This window comes from Homo sapiens, chromosome 9, assembly GCF_000001405.40.
Source record: "Homo sapiens chromosome 9, GRCh38.p14 Primary Assembly".
Taxonomy (NCBI): domain Eukaryota; kingdom Metazoa; phylum Chordata; class Mammalia; order Primates; family Hominidae; genus Homo; species Homo sapiens.
Genome location: NC_000009.12, coordinates 109,956,529 through 109,971,094, shown reverse-complemented (window position 1 = coordinate 109,971,094; position 14,566 = coordinate 109,956,529). Strand labels below are relative to the sequence as shown.

Genomic DNA, 14,566 nt, shown 5'->3' with positions numbered 1-14,566 from the left:
TTGAGACAGGGTCTTGCTCTGTTGCCCAGGCTGCAGTGTAGTGGTGTGATCGGCCTCCTGGGCTTGAGCAATCCTCCCACCTCATCCACCTGAGTAGCTGGGACTACAGGTGTATGCCACCATGCCCAGATAATTTTTTAAATTTTTTTTGTAGACACAGGGTCTCCCTATGTTGCCCAGGCTGGTCTCAAAACTCCTAGGCTCAAGTAATTCTTCTGCCTTGGCCTCCCAAAGTGCTGGGATTACAGGCATGAGCCCCGGCACCTGGCCAGGAAATTTTTAATATTCACAGGCACTTACTATTTTCCAAGAGCAACTCTATGTGATTATGCACTTATTAACTTCAGTCTTTACAAAAACCCTATGAGATAGTACTACTATCCTAATTGGACAGATGAGTAAACTGAGGCTGTGAGCTATTAACTCATCCTGGGTCAAGGCAGTAAGTGGCAGTGCTGAATGTATCACCAGGCAGCCTGCCCCAGAGGCAGGCTCCATAGTCCTACACTGTAATTCTTTTTGCATTGTAAGTAGTTGTAAGAGGAGGCTGGATTTTAGTTTCTTGGCTCACTAGGTAAAGGCTGTCCTTGTTTCCAGCTTCTACCCTAACCCCTTGAAGATTCTACAGTTCACTAAGCTCCACATTTCTAGAGGTGAAGAAGGACTCACTGCTCCCTCCTGAGTGCTCTAAGGCAGCGCTCCTCAAAGTGAGTGGCCCACCAATCCGTGTCCCTCCACAGTTGGTTACTGATCGGTGACCAAGTGAGTGCAGAAATGGAAAGAATATGTTTAGAACCCTTAATAACAATTTATTGAATCTAATAATAAAAAATCAGTACCTGTATTCTGTGTGTCTTTCAAAAATTTTACTTTTCTCATCATTCACTTTCATTGTACTTTACAAAAGTACTGTTCTGAGATGAACTGGAAGCTTAAAAGAAAAAAAACAAAACCTAATCCTTTACCATAGATAGAGAGGGACATTGTTCTCAGGGAGTTCAAGTTCCCAGGGCTGGATAGACTGCATCCCTGAGAACAGAGGGACCCTAAAGGCAAGGTCTAGGAAACATCTGTGTGGGCACTTCCTGTGTTGCACTCTCCAGTCCATTTCTAGAAGATGAGTGGGTTTTGTGCTCCCTTGCCTGGGCAGAGGCTACTTTTGGTCAATGGGCCTTCAGGTCTTTTGCAAAAGCCAAAAGTTCACTAAAGAGATGAAGCTAGGCATCCTGGTGGGGTTCGGGGAGGGGTGCACTTTCTCCCAGAAGCAGTAGAGGGGAGGGGCTGTAGGCTGCACTTGGGGTGGGGTGGGGTGAGGATGTGGGAGTGCTACACTGTGGTGTAAGCAGGGAAGCTGGATGCTGATTCCAGGCTCCCAGCCTCTGCCAAGGCTCCTGTCTCCAAGCTTGGCTCAGAAGCCACACAGACTTCAGCCCTGAAGGGGCTCTGAAAACCAGGACAATGCACACCCAAGGATAAATCCAGTGAGAACCAGTGATGATGGGCCTTCCCCAAGATGAGCATGTCACCTTTGCATGACCTTGGGTGGGAGAGAGCCCCGTGAACGACTGAGTTTGAACTGCCTGCCAGACCAGCAGCCTTGGGGTACAGAGTCTGATATCACTTGATTTAAAGAAAACAAAGTGGCACTTCTTGCATAAGTGTGTGGACCAAGACTGATACTGCTACCCTTTGTGGGTGATATTCAGGAGACAGAGTGAATGAGAAAGATGCTGGAAGGTTAGGACAGAGCGGGAGACTGTTTCAGGCGAGAGGAGACTCACAGTGGCTGAGTGAGGAAGCACAAGGTGTGGGGAGAGCCACAGGCTGTCTGTCCTATTTGGCCCAGACCAGCAGCTGTGGAGCTGCTGAGCTTTTGCAAACCCTGTTCCTTCTTTCTGGAATACTCTTGGCATGGCTGCCTTCCTCATCTTTCAGATGTCAGCTGAAATGTCCTGTCTTCAGAGGGTCCTTTCTGGGAGTCGTGTGTGTGTGTGTGTGTGTGTGTGCACGCACATTTGTAGAGGTGCAGGAAAAGACTGTCAGATCAGAGGGTCTTGCATTTTACATTCCTGCAGCTGTTCTGTTCAGTTGCTTTCTAGTCAGTTTTTTTCTTAGTCTCTAAATTACCACAGTCTCTCTGTCTGTGTCACACTCCACAGTTTTATAGCCCGGAGAGGAACTGGGTCTGGGGTCACTCCCTGGAATCTGAGGATCATGTTCTGTCACTGGAAGAAATCCTGAGATTCTTCTAATGAAGACAGAGGGCTGACATAGCCAGCCTTTCCAGGGGTCTTAGTGGCAGACTTACTGGGAGTTTTGAAGTGAAATGTAGCTGCCCTGAAAATCGCGCTGAAAATCGCGGCTGGACTCCTTAGGGCTTCCCCCCACAATTCCTGTGCATTGATTTCACATGGAGTCCCCAGAAATTTGGGGGACTGGGAGCTGGGTACAAGTGGTAGATGCTGAAGGCTAACACAAAATCAGGGCCTCTTTCAGAAACCCAGGTTTCCCACCTCCCTTTGTAGGGTGCAATGAAACCCAACAGAGTGGCCAGAGACAGGGACTTTTGTCTTGGGAGAGTACTGTTTCCTGTTGATGATATAGCTAGACGTCTTCGGAGAAAACCTTTCACTGAGAGATCTAGTCGCTTCTGCTCTCAGTTTGGGCTATAAACAGGAAATAGAGAGAGCTGCTTAGAAATGAGATATCATTATAATCAAAATAGCTCTTGTTGATTTTTGCTTTCTCCTGGAATTCCAGTTTCCATTTAGTGGAAGAAGGAGGTTTCCCAGCAGATCCAGGCCTTCCACAGCCTATGGGGTACGCGAGGGCCTCAAGTTGCAAAGCAGGCAGGCCAGACCCCCAGGGCCATGGTGGCCTCTGAGCAAATGCAGGAGTCCCTCTCCCTGGGAGAAGTGCCAGAGAGGACTGTTCTGGGAGAGATTTCCAGAATTCCAGTATCCTTTCTTCTTCAGACCACACAGCCTCAGTCCTAAATCCTTTACCATTCATTCATTCATTCATTTATTCATTCCCTCATCAAACAAACATTGTTTGGGTCACTTTTGTGTGCCAAGCACTGTGGTAGACACCAGAACTATTGCAGAGAAAAAGACCAAGTCCTTGCTTTCAAGAAGCTTATGATCTGGTGTGAGAGATAGATACTCAGATACTCACACACCATCCTGCCTGTTGGAGAATAACTTCAAGTGGTCTTCATGGTACCCCAAACCCACAAATTTAAACACAACAAAGTCAACTTTCCCTGGTTGACTCATCCACCACTTTCTGTTCCTCCCAGAGCTTCCTTAAGCAGGCCATTGTGGTGGTTTTGAGACATGTCTAAAAATTCTTTGACACTTCTCCCTTCAAGACATGGAGTCTCAGCCAAGTGCGGTGGCTCACGCCTGTAACCCCAACACTTTGGGAGGCCAAGGCGGGCAGATCACCTGAATTCAGGAGTTTGAGACCAGCGTGGCCAATATGGTGAAATCCCATCTCCACTAAAAATACAAAAATTAGCTGGGTGTGGTGGCGCCTGCCTGTAGTCACAGCTACTCGGGAGTCTGAGGCACAAGAATCACTTGAACCCAGCAAGTGGAGGTTGCAGTGAGCCAAGATCGTGCCACTGCACTCTAGCCTGGGCAACAGAATGAAACTCTGTCTCAAAAAAAAAAAAAAAAGACACGGAGTCTCACTGCGCTACCCTTGCATATGGGCTGGCCTTAGTGCCTTGCTTCTAATACATAGAAGGTGGCAGAAGCGATGCTGTGAGACTTGGAGGCTGGGCAAGAAAAGGTAATACATCTTCTGCCTGGTTCTCTGTCTTGAGATACAGCTGCTGAGCTGTGAAGAGCCCCTTGCCACATGGAGATGCCCTGGGGAGATGTTCTCGCTGACAGCCCCAGCTGAGGTCCCAACAGCCAGCCAGCATCTACCACCGGACACGAGGGGGAGGAAGCCTTCAGGATGACTCTTGACTCTTGCCCCAGCTACATCTAACCACCAGCTTGTGACAGATCCCAAGAACTACATAGCTGAACTGCAAGAGATAATAATAACAACAACAGCATAGAACATAAATCATTTTCGTTTTAGCTTCTAGGTTTGGATGATTTGTTATGTGGCAAAAGACAACCAGAACAATCCTAGAAACACCGTGATGGAACTCCGTTCCTTAACAACTTTGCTACTCAAGGAGTGGCCGGCAGACCCGCGGCACCAGACCACCTGGGAGCTTGCTACAAACACAGACCATTGAGTACCGCCTGAGACCTACTGAACCAGAACCTGCATTTTCACAAGACTGCCAAACATTTCACATGCATGTTAAGCTTTAAGAAGCACTGCTTAGCAAGACTGTTTTGAAAGTACATTATTTTAAGGTCATGCTTTAAAATATTCAAACACCAAAAAATAACGTAACAGACACCAACGTACCAACCATCCAGATTTAAAAGATAAAAAATAGCAAGCATATATTCTGTGCTGAATACTATTGTAAGATCTTTACAAATATTGACTCCTTTAACCTTCATGACAGCCTTGTGAGAGAGGCACTACTTTGTCATTCATTGTTATGTGATAGAGGAAGAAACAGGACAGAAAGATTAAGTCATTCACTCAAGGTCACACAAGCTCATAAGCAGCAGTACTGGTATTAGAACATTAGCAGTACTAAATGCAGGGTACCTGGCTCCAGGGTTGAGCTATTCTGCTAAACATTTAACACTTTGCCACCTCTTCCTTGATATCTTAAGTCTATCAAGGCTCTTCTGAAATTAGTCTCCATCTCTCCCTTTTCTTTTGCACAGCCACCATCCTAGTTTAGTCTAGGACTTGTGCAACACTGCCCTGGCTGCCTTGAACCTCTGGTATGGCACCATTCAATCCATTTTCTACGATGCCCCAGATTGATCTTTCTGCCGACACTGATCTTTTCATCCTCCCTGCCCAGATAGTTTTAGTGCCTCTGCTCTGCCTGGCACCTAAACAGGTCAACTTGGACTCCAAGTCCCTTGAAACCCCATCCCAAATCTAGTCTCCAACAAAAAACAAAACAGATCACAACATCATCACCGGGTCCCCATCACCACACACAGGAGCTTCATGGTTTGCTTACACATTTCCTCCTGGCTGGGTTGCCTTTTCCCTTGCCTGGTCCTACAAACTCCATCTCAAATCCCACCTCCTTGGCAAATCCTTCGTTGACTACTTTTAGTTTAAAGTATGAACTCCCACTTCTGAACTCAGTAACACTTAGAAACATCTTAATATCTCTTTTTAGCTCTTTTTTTTCCCCCTGAGTATCTTCAATGGCCAGGTACTGCACGAGGCATTTATTTTTTTATTGTGGTAAAACATACATAATACCATTTACCACTTTAAGTTTACAGTTCGATAGCATTAAGTACATTCACACTGTTGTGCAACCATCACCGCCAGCCATTTCCAGAACTTTTTCATCATCCCAAACTGAAATTCTGTACCCATTAAACAATAACTCTCCTTTCTTCTCTCCCCCAGGTCCTCTGGTAACCTTTCTGTCACTACGAATTTGACTAGTCTAGATATCTCATGTAAGTGGAATAATACAATATTTGTCCTTTTCTCTCTGGCTTGTTTAACTTAGCACTATGTTTCATGGTCCATCCATGTTGTGACATATATCAAAATTTCATTCCTTTTATGGCTGAATAATATTCCATTGTAGGGATATATCACATTTTGTTTATCCATTCATCTGTGGATGGACACTTGGGGTTTTTTCCGTCTTTTGGCTATTGGAAATAATGCTGCTGTGAGCATTGGTATACAAATATCTGTTCGAGTCCTTGCTCTCAATTCTTTTGTGCATGAGGCATTTTAAACTTTATTCTCCATACAAATCTATCGTAGGGATTATTAGTCCCACTTCATAGGAAAAAGAGGTTCAGAGAAGTTAAGTGACTTTTCCAGGGCCATGTGTCTAGGGCTTATAAATACTGTTTTCCTGAGGATTCTGCTTTTACTAATAAACATTTTATTTTCTAGAAGAGATGAGTATCTAACTTAATAAGGATTCCATAATTCAAGGTTCTATGTGTTATCTCTGTCAATGTTGATGGTAATGACAATGGCAAGAAACAGATGAAAGATGACACATCCTTGTGTCCAGCAAAGGTGAGGAGGGAGACATTTTCTTCCCTTCCAGCATGAATCTAGATTCTAAGTGTCTGGATGAGCTAATTAGGTCCTGAACATATCCTTGACTTGAAAATCTGTAACTGTAACACCCAAGGGAAGCTCCATGGCCTGAGAGTTATTTGCCATTTTTTGATTTAGGGTCAAGGAATAGAAATAGCCAGACAGTTTGCTTCCAGGAGCAAAGTTATACTCAAGTCCAAAGCCTTGAGCTCAAGTTCCCAGCTGAGGTATAGTAAGAGCTCAATATGATGGTGGCTGATATTTAGGTGGTAGGCAGGCAAGCCAGCCTCCCCAGTGTGACCAGTACTGTGGGGTTTCCTGGGACAGAAGCTTGCAGAGCAAAAACCAAGAAAGTCACAGGCTAAATTGGGTTAAGTTGGCGACCTTAACCTAAAGATCATTGTGGAAGGAAAAGACATAATTAATCTTGCATCTGTCCCTTCTTCTCTCGCTCCTACTGGTTCAAATCTCTGACCTCCCAGCTGGTCTCCTGCAATAGCTCCCTCACTGGCCTTCCTGCCTCTGCCTCTGCCTGCAGTAGCCCATTTGGCACAATCTGCCCTGATCAAAAACCTTCAATCTTCTTCACCACTAAACCAATTTAGCTAGGGCCAAAACCTCTCATTCCTGTAAGCACCAGACAGGTCATGTCCATGAGAGACACAGCTCTGGTGTAAGACAATGGGAACTGGTAGGGCTGCAGCCAGGCCTATGCCGAACATTTCTGGGGCTTGGAGCAAGTGCACAAATAGATGCTGACATACAGTATATCTCAATATCTGAAATCAAATTCAAAATTATTAAATATTTTATGTTCTCTCTTACTAAGTTGGCAAATATACTTCATACTGACTGAGAAGGCCAAGTTCAAATTGTGAGTTCTTGGATTCCTGCGTGTCCCATATTGAGATTTGGTGGTGCAGAGCGAGATTCTGTGGCCTGTTACCTTCTTCCCTACTCTTTGTACCCTCTGCTCTGTCCTGCACCTCTAGAGGCCTTGCACACCCATGGTGGACACCCTAGCCTGCACCTCAAAGGTCCATCCACACATACGCTACCTTCAAGGCAAACTGCTTCCCTTTGGTACACCCTTCAGAGTGGCCCATCCTTGGGAAGACAGATGCAGAGAAGAGGCCCATGTGAGTTCTGGATGTGAGCTGGGACCGTTCAGGAGACAATTCAGAGTCTTGGGAGGTGAAGCACAGTCAGGGGACAGGGGTAGGGAGCAGGCAAGTCACCTTGGCCCAAAGACTCCTCACCCCTTAGAAAAGAGTGTGACTAGAGCAAGGCCCTATAAAGCCCAGGGCCCAGTATGGGGGCTGTGCTTGCTTGAGTCTAAGATGAGTAAAGGCCCATAGGAAAGCAGATGCTGCATCTAAAGAGGGCAGCTAAACTCAACTCTAGCTAGTTCCCACCTCCTGGAAATGTGGCTGAGTCTGGCTAGATCTTGCAGTCTTTTAAGAGAAGATGAAATGTAGGATGGGCTGGTTATAAATTCAAGTGAAAACCAAAGCAAACATCCTTGTGTGAATCAATACAGTAAAGGCCAAACACAATATGTCTATGGGCTTGACCTTGAACTTTCAGTTTATAGCTGCTTCCTCGAGGAAGTACCTGTCTCTCTACATCCTGGCATACAGCCACTTCTTTCACCTTGTCTCCTTCAGTCCCTTCAGGCTAAACAAATCAGACAACCAGCCCAAGCTTCCTATTTCAGGCCCTTTGCTCAGTCAATTCCTTCTTTCTGCAATACCCTCCCCTGGGTCTTCTCCTTGCTTACTGAAAACCATACTCATTCTTCAAGAACAAGTGCAAACCGAACTCCTCCAGGATGTCTGTCCTCATAACTCCTAAAGTTCCAGACCAGAGTATGAATCCTAGCTCTGCAATTGTACACAAGCACAAGTGCTCTGAACCTCACATATAAAATGGGATATTTCCATTAACCTTGAAGAGCTACTTCTCATGAAAGTTAAATAAGATAATCTATGTTAAAACATTTGTTGGGAGGCCGAGGTGGGTGCATCACCTGAGGTCAGGAGTTTGAGACCAGCCTGGCCAACATGGCAAAAATCTCATCTCTACTAAAAATACAAAAGTTGGCCAGGCTTGGTCGCATGCACCTGTAATCCCAACTACTCAGGAGGCTGAGGCAGGAGAATCGCTTGAACCCGGGAGGCGGAGGTTGCAGTGAGCCGAGATCGTGCCACTGCACTCCAGCCTGGGTGACAGAGTAAGACTCTGTCTTACAAAAAAAAAAAAAAAATTGGCACAGTTCAGGGCATTTAATCAGTGCTCAGTAACTGCTAGTGGAATAGGAATAGGAATGAGATTTTGAGTATCTTACTTATGCTTTAATTGGGGGCCAGTAAACTTTTTTGGTAAAGTACCAGACAATAAATATTTTAGGTTTATGGGCCATATGATTTTTTTCCCAACTACTCAATAAGGCATCCATAAACAATACTTAAATAAGTGGACATAATTCTGTTCCAATAAAACTTTATTTACAAAACAGGCAGAGGACCACATTTGCTCCAAAGGCCATAGTTGCTGATCCCTACTTCATACCATTCTTAGGGGTTGTTCCCTGGCTCTCAAAGCTGCTGATACTATTCTTACTAATAGCTATATTTTAGTTCTGCCAGTATTTACCAGGCAGTGTCCAAAACACTTTGTAAGAGATTTAACCCTCTTTGCCATTCTACACATGAAGAAACTGGGGTACAAGAGGTAGCAGTCGAACCAGAACTCTGAGCAACTGTGCAGTAATGTGTTCAGGACTTGGGCAGCACCTGCACAGTCTCGGGTATGCTTCTTGGCTGTTGTTGGATGAACATACATTTGCAAACGACTTCAAGTCATGCTCCTCTCTCCCATGCAATGTTGGTGGCAATTATAACTACTGAAAACTTAGTAGGGAATTCTCCTCCACTGATGAGTGTGGGCAGCAGCAAGTGGCACAGGCCAGAAGCCAGTGGGTCTCTATCTGCCTAGTAAGTACTGGACTTGATAGTGGTTCTGCTGTTCCTTTTCATTAGTACCCACAGGAATATGAAACTGATCAAAAATGGTGAAGAAAAAAAGGAAATGCTTTGATGTGGATGAGGCTGACTGTCACCCTACAACACTCTGATCCTTCAGAACAGTTTGCGTACAGGAGTCTTGCCGTGCCCTCAGCATTGTGTCTGTATCATGGAGAATTGCCAAGGCATCAATAAAAGGAAAGGCTGGTTGCAGATGTGGAGTAGTTGACAAAGCAGAGATGCCCATCTCCATGCCAGAGGTCACACGACCATATGGTTCATCATCCCAACTGAACATTACTGAAAATTAGGCTGGTAAAACATGTGCAAACTGGGACATATGGTCACCCCAGTCAGAGAAATCTTTCTTCTAAGTGGCCACTCAATAACAATTCATGCTTGGGCAATGCCGCCCCTGAGAAAAGAGCAACTGGTTCTGCCCTTTCATTCTGCTCCATGATCCCAGCTACAACATCATGAAATATCTACCCCATACCATGTGTTTATACCATGCTAAACTTCACTGGAGAAAATCAAGGAAGAATATGCCTGGTCCCTGGAAGTATGTCTTCATTACCGGTTCCTAGAAGTCAAGTCCATAGTCTTCAGGGTATAAACTGATTCCTGCAACTTGACAGGCTACAGCAAGTTTAATATATGTGCAATGCTATGATTATAAAGTAAGTTTCTGGTTGAATTTTAGCTATATGTTCCAAAGAACGGATAGGTTGCTTTTGCCTGAGCAGGTGTAGTATGCATGTTATGCACTGAACAACTCCAAGAGCACCATTCACATTGTACTTGATGTGAATGGAGCCTTCCAGGATTGTGCAGTATGCAACCTGAACAATCATACTTGGCAGCCCTGCTGGGGAGCTCCAGTTCCATTCCCACCAGCCAGAACTGGTGTGCTTCAGTAGCCTAATCCTTGCACAGCTGGTCACCCTCAGGATACCTGTTTGCCTAAACACTTTTCCCTCAAATAGTAAACAAGCACCCACACTGCAAGGCATAGGAAGACAATTTGTCTATGATTCTGCTGCTAAACTTGCTTGGGAACTGCTGAGGGAAGTTCAGCCTCTCCTCTGGCCTGGTAAGAGAAGACCCATGGCTACCTGCACACCATACCAATCTGTTCTCTTCTGACATACGGGAGAAAATAAAACTACAATTTCCTTTTCTGGCAAGGGCTCCTGTCCCCTCCTCTCCCATCCTTCCTACTGACTCTTGGGAGCCAAAAGATAGCATTACATCTTTTTTTTCTTTTTAAAGAAATAGGGTCCTGCTATGTTGTGCAGACTAGACTTAAATTCCTGTGCTCAAGCAATCCTCCTGCCTCAGCCTCCTGTGTAGCTGGGATTTACAGGCACATACCACCGTGCTCAACTTATGCATTATATCTTGATTGTCATTTTTCATCTATGGTCTATAAGTCTGTGTCTCAGGGTGAAAGTCAACTACTTCAGAGATCAAAGGTGCTGCTACTGATCCATTTTGGAACTAAAAAATTAGTATTTTATCCAATGAATACAGAGGAGCCCCACTGAAGGGTCAGCCGTATGGTAAAGACAGCAGGAGTGCAGTGTGCAGAGGAGGGCTGATAGCGAAAGGTGGGTGGGTGCAGGGGGCAGTATGAGATGAAAGCACTGCAGCTGGGCTGAGCAGGATGAAGGCTTCTCCAGGGGAAGAGGGACATGATTCCAAGTGTGCACAGAACAGCATGGGCCAAGTGTGGGGAAGGGGTGAAAATGGCCAGTGAGGGCCAGGGTGGGATCCTTAATTAAAAAGAAAAATTTATGTTGGGAATCAGTGGGAACTAAGGTTTCGCGGAGGGGGGTGATGGAGAAGAAGTTGTTGCATTTTAGCAAATGTTGAATTCCAGAGAGAAGGGTTTGATCTTAATTCTGGAGAAAGAGAACAAAGCAGTGATTCTCTGTTCTTACTGAGTAGGAGAGTGCCTTAGTGATGAGGATGGATGCTTGTACGCTCACAATGAGAGTTTCCATTACCCAGCCACTGCCTCAGGAAATTATCCAAAAATTCCCACGTCTCCTTCCAACATTCAATGAGGGAAATTTTCTCCTGGTAGGTGAAAAGACATGAAAACAAACTCTCTTCAGCCAAACTTCAGCTAACTAACCCCATTCAACTTGGAGTTTCTATGCCTAACTTTCTATCTACCACTTCTAAAATTCTTTGGATCAATGGAAATATTAGGATTTTTTTTTTTTTTTTTTTGAGACGGAGTCTTGCTCTGTCACCCAGGCTGGAGTGCAGTGGCGTGATCTCAGCTCACTGCAAGTTCCGCCTCCCGGGTTCATGCCATTCTCTAGCCTCAACCTCCCGAGTAGCTGGGACTACAGGCGCCCGCCACCATGCCTGGCTAGTTTTTTTGTATTTTTAGTAGAGACGGGGTTTCACTGTATAGGCTAGGATGGTCTCGATCTCCTGAGCTTGTGATCTGCCCGCCTCGGCCTCCAAAGTGCTGGGATTACAGGCTTGAGCCACCACCCCTGGCCTGGATCTTTATACTTAAGACAACTCTCTATGGTGTATTACAGAGCAAAGAGGCTAAGTGTCTGACCCAAAGACACAGAGCTATTAAAGAGCAGAACTGGCTTACTGCTTTCAGACCCAGTACACTGGACATTCATGGAGCAGGGAGTCACAAGTGAGAACAAGAGAAGGAGCCTGTATTTTGTCCAGAGTTAAACATTGTCTGTGGAGAGAAGCACTGTCAGCCTGTTGCTCACAAACTCAACGTTCCTTTGGAGAAAACATCTAGAATAGGGGAGCAGTGGCACGTGTCTGCAGTATTCTCCCTCAAGGTGGGGGGGTTTGCCAAGTCTCCAAGGAGAAAGTGAGGGCACAAAGATGGCAGGCAAAGACGATTCTGTTCATATATTTAAAAGGAAGATTCAGACTCTTATTTTCAACCATGGGGAACTACAAATTTTGGTCAGGCAGGTATTCCCCCCACTGAATTTCATACACAGGAAAATAGCCACAGGGTTTCAAGACCCTGGAACAAGGCAGTGACGGGTGGCTTACTAGTAACTTCACAGGGCCAGGCACAGCAGATGGCTGATGTGATGGCTTCTAAAGGCCAGGGACTTCAGCACCTTCAAGGAACAACTCCCCTCCTCTTAATGTCTTTCTCTTTCTTTTCCTTCCTTCCTTCCTCTCCTTCCTCTCCTTCCCTTCTTTCATCCTTCCTTTCTTCCTTTTCTTTCTCTCTGTCCCTCCTTCCTTCTTTCTTCCTTCCTTTTCTCTCGCTCCTCTTCCTTTTCTCCTTCTCTTTTTCTTCTCTCCTTTCTTTTTAAATTATAGAAAAATACTCCTGAGGTTGGCGTCCACTCAGAATGTCACCCACAATCACGTTGTCTCATTTTATAGATGAGCAAGTTGGGACCAAGAGAGGAAAAATGACTTCCTCTAAGTCATACGATAAAGGCATAAATGAGACAAAGCTCAGTCCATGGGTCCCTTTACACTCAAGAATGCTGCTTCTGTCACATCATGTTTTTGTTGTTTTCAAAATAGACCCAAGATCTTAGAATTAAGTGGTTTGGTTGATAAAGTAGTATTATGTGGTACATTTTACAAACTGAATTGCTCAAACAAGTGAGAGAAGTAAACGTTCAGTAATATAAGCTAGATGGAGTTTTCTAATTTCATCTTATTTTTCTCTTGGCCTAATTTCTCCATCTGTTTCTTTTTCTGCTGTTTTTTTTTTTCAATCAACTGCCTCAAATATATTTCTTTTGTAATGGGAAGGAAAGGAGAAGGGAAACATTCCTAACAGAAGCCTTGCAAGGTAGGTATTATTCCCATTCTACAGAAGAAGAAACTGAGGCTTGGTGAATTGAAATTAATTGCCTAAGATTACTCAGCTGGCCAATGACAGACTTGGGCTTTGCTTTGTTCCTGAATCCAAAGCCCGTTTTTCTTGGCTTGCAGAATTGAGGCAAGAATCATAGCCCGGACTCACTGCGGCCAGCCCTGGGCACCCGTGTGCTGCTGTTTCCAACACTGGCTGAATCTCCATTAGAATCACCTGGAACCATTTAATAAATGTGCCAGGCTTCACCCTACCAATTAAATAATGATCTCTGGAGTGGGGGCCCTCATAGCATTATATTTTGGAGAAAATGTCCCAGGTTCTAATACATAGCAAGCAAGAAATGAGAACCAGAGAGCTGCAGCCTGGTGCTTCCTGGGAGAATTAATAGGCTTCTTAAAAGTTCAGTTCACCCTGCAGGTGGGAATGCATCTCAGCTGAAAAATGTTTAAGTTCATTCAGTAGAAAAGAGGAGAGAAGAAAGGAGTGAAGAGAGAAGAGAAAAGTGAAGCTGAGCTGTCTTTGGGAGAACCTTTTTCTACTCATGTCTGCTGCTTCTCTAGTGCTGAGCCAGTTTACAGCTTGCATTGACTAAATCCCTGACTCTTCAAGAGTCAACCAAGAAGTCTTCTGTGCGGGAGTCAGCTTGCTAACGCCCAGGAGGCAGAACAAAGGCTAAACGCTGGAGTGTTTTATAGTGGAGCCAGCCATTTGGTCCATCAGTCTCCCCATGTGCTTGTATATTGCATTCCCTTCCCCTTCTATCTGAAAACTCACATCTGGCCACGTAACTTTGCTCAATTAACTCAGCAAGAGCCCAATCAGATCTAGCCTCCATCGGTGAAAAATTGCTTATGCCAGAGACAGCTCTTTAGCTGGAACAGATGTTACTTTTGTTTGTTTAAACGATCGTGATCTTACTGGAGAGTTTAAGTTTGCTACTGATGTACTCGATTCAATCCTTATAAAAGGAACAGCATGACAGGCACCTGGTGCAATGGAAAGAATTTGAAGTCACCCTGCCTGGGTCTGAATCCCAGCTCTGTGTCTCTGCTCTTCTTGTGGCTTTGAGCAAGTCACTTTCTATTTCTAACCCTAGTCTCTTTGAAACGAGGAATTGGGATTTTTATTTTTTTTAAGAGGATGCAAGGAGGCAAGACAGTGTTTCCTAAATTTTGGGGGTAAGTGGGCATGGCATTATGTAACACTGACTCACATAGCAAGAAAGTTACTGCTATCTTGATTCTCTTTCACTCCCATCTGATTATATTAAAGAGATGGAGCTATGTTTTTGACACCTCTCTAACCTGGCTATTTCCTTCTTTTAACAGGAGCGAGCTGGTACACACAGGACAAAAATAACAAATATGATGCCCAAAAGTCTGAAGTTTGAGGAAAAACTGAGTTAAGGTATGTGACAGCACCTCACACTGAGTCTCTGAGCTATAGTTAGAATTTAGGCAGTCTTTCAGGAAAAGTAGAAAAGCTGACTCTATCTTTGTACTCTGACTGG

At 44.8% G+C, this 14,566-nt stretch overlaps 1 protein-coding gene across 12 annotated transcripts in view, besides 4 other annotated features; it reads right to left on the bottom strand.

The window, feature by feature from the left end:
* PALM2AKAP2 (PALM2 and AKAP2 fusion) overlaps nucleotides 1-14,566 on the bottom strand; it is a 531,726-nt gene that overhangs the window by 201,418 nt on the left and 315,742 nt on the right. The window lies entirely within an intron of this gene.
* Nucleotides 2,878-2,947: an enhancer, noted in NCBI's record as "active region_28779". NCBI's record gives its function as "activates an Ori minimal core promoter by ATAC-STARR-seq in GM12878 lymphoblastoid cells {active_cell/tissue: GM12878}" and the evidence as "EXISTENCE:reporter gene assay evidence [ECO:0000049][PMID:35858748]".
* Nucleotides 3,338-3,457: an enhancer, noted in NCBI's record as "active region_28778". NCBI's record gives its function as "activates an Ori minimal core promoter by ATAC-STARR-seq in GM12878 lymphoblastoid cells {active_cell/tissue: GM12878}" and the evidence as "EXISTENCE:reporter gene assay evidence [ECO:0000049][PMID:35858748]".
* Nucleotides 3,468-3,517: an enhancer, noted in NCBI's record as "active region_28777". NCBI's record gives its function as "activates an Ori minimal core promoter by ATAC-STARR-seq in GM12878 lymphoblastoid cells {active_cell/tissue: GM12878}" and the evidence as "EXISTENCE:reporter gene assay evidence [ECO:0000049][PMID:35858748]".
* Nucleotides 4,198-4,297: an enhancer, noted in NCBI's record as "active region_28776". NCBI's record gives its function as "activates an Ori minimal core promoter by ATAC-STARR-seq in GM12878 lymphoblastoid cells {active_cell/tissue: GM12878}" and the evidence as "EXISTENCE:reporter gene assay evidence [ECO:0000049][PMID:35858748]".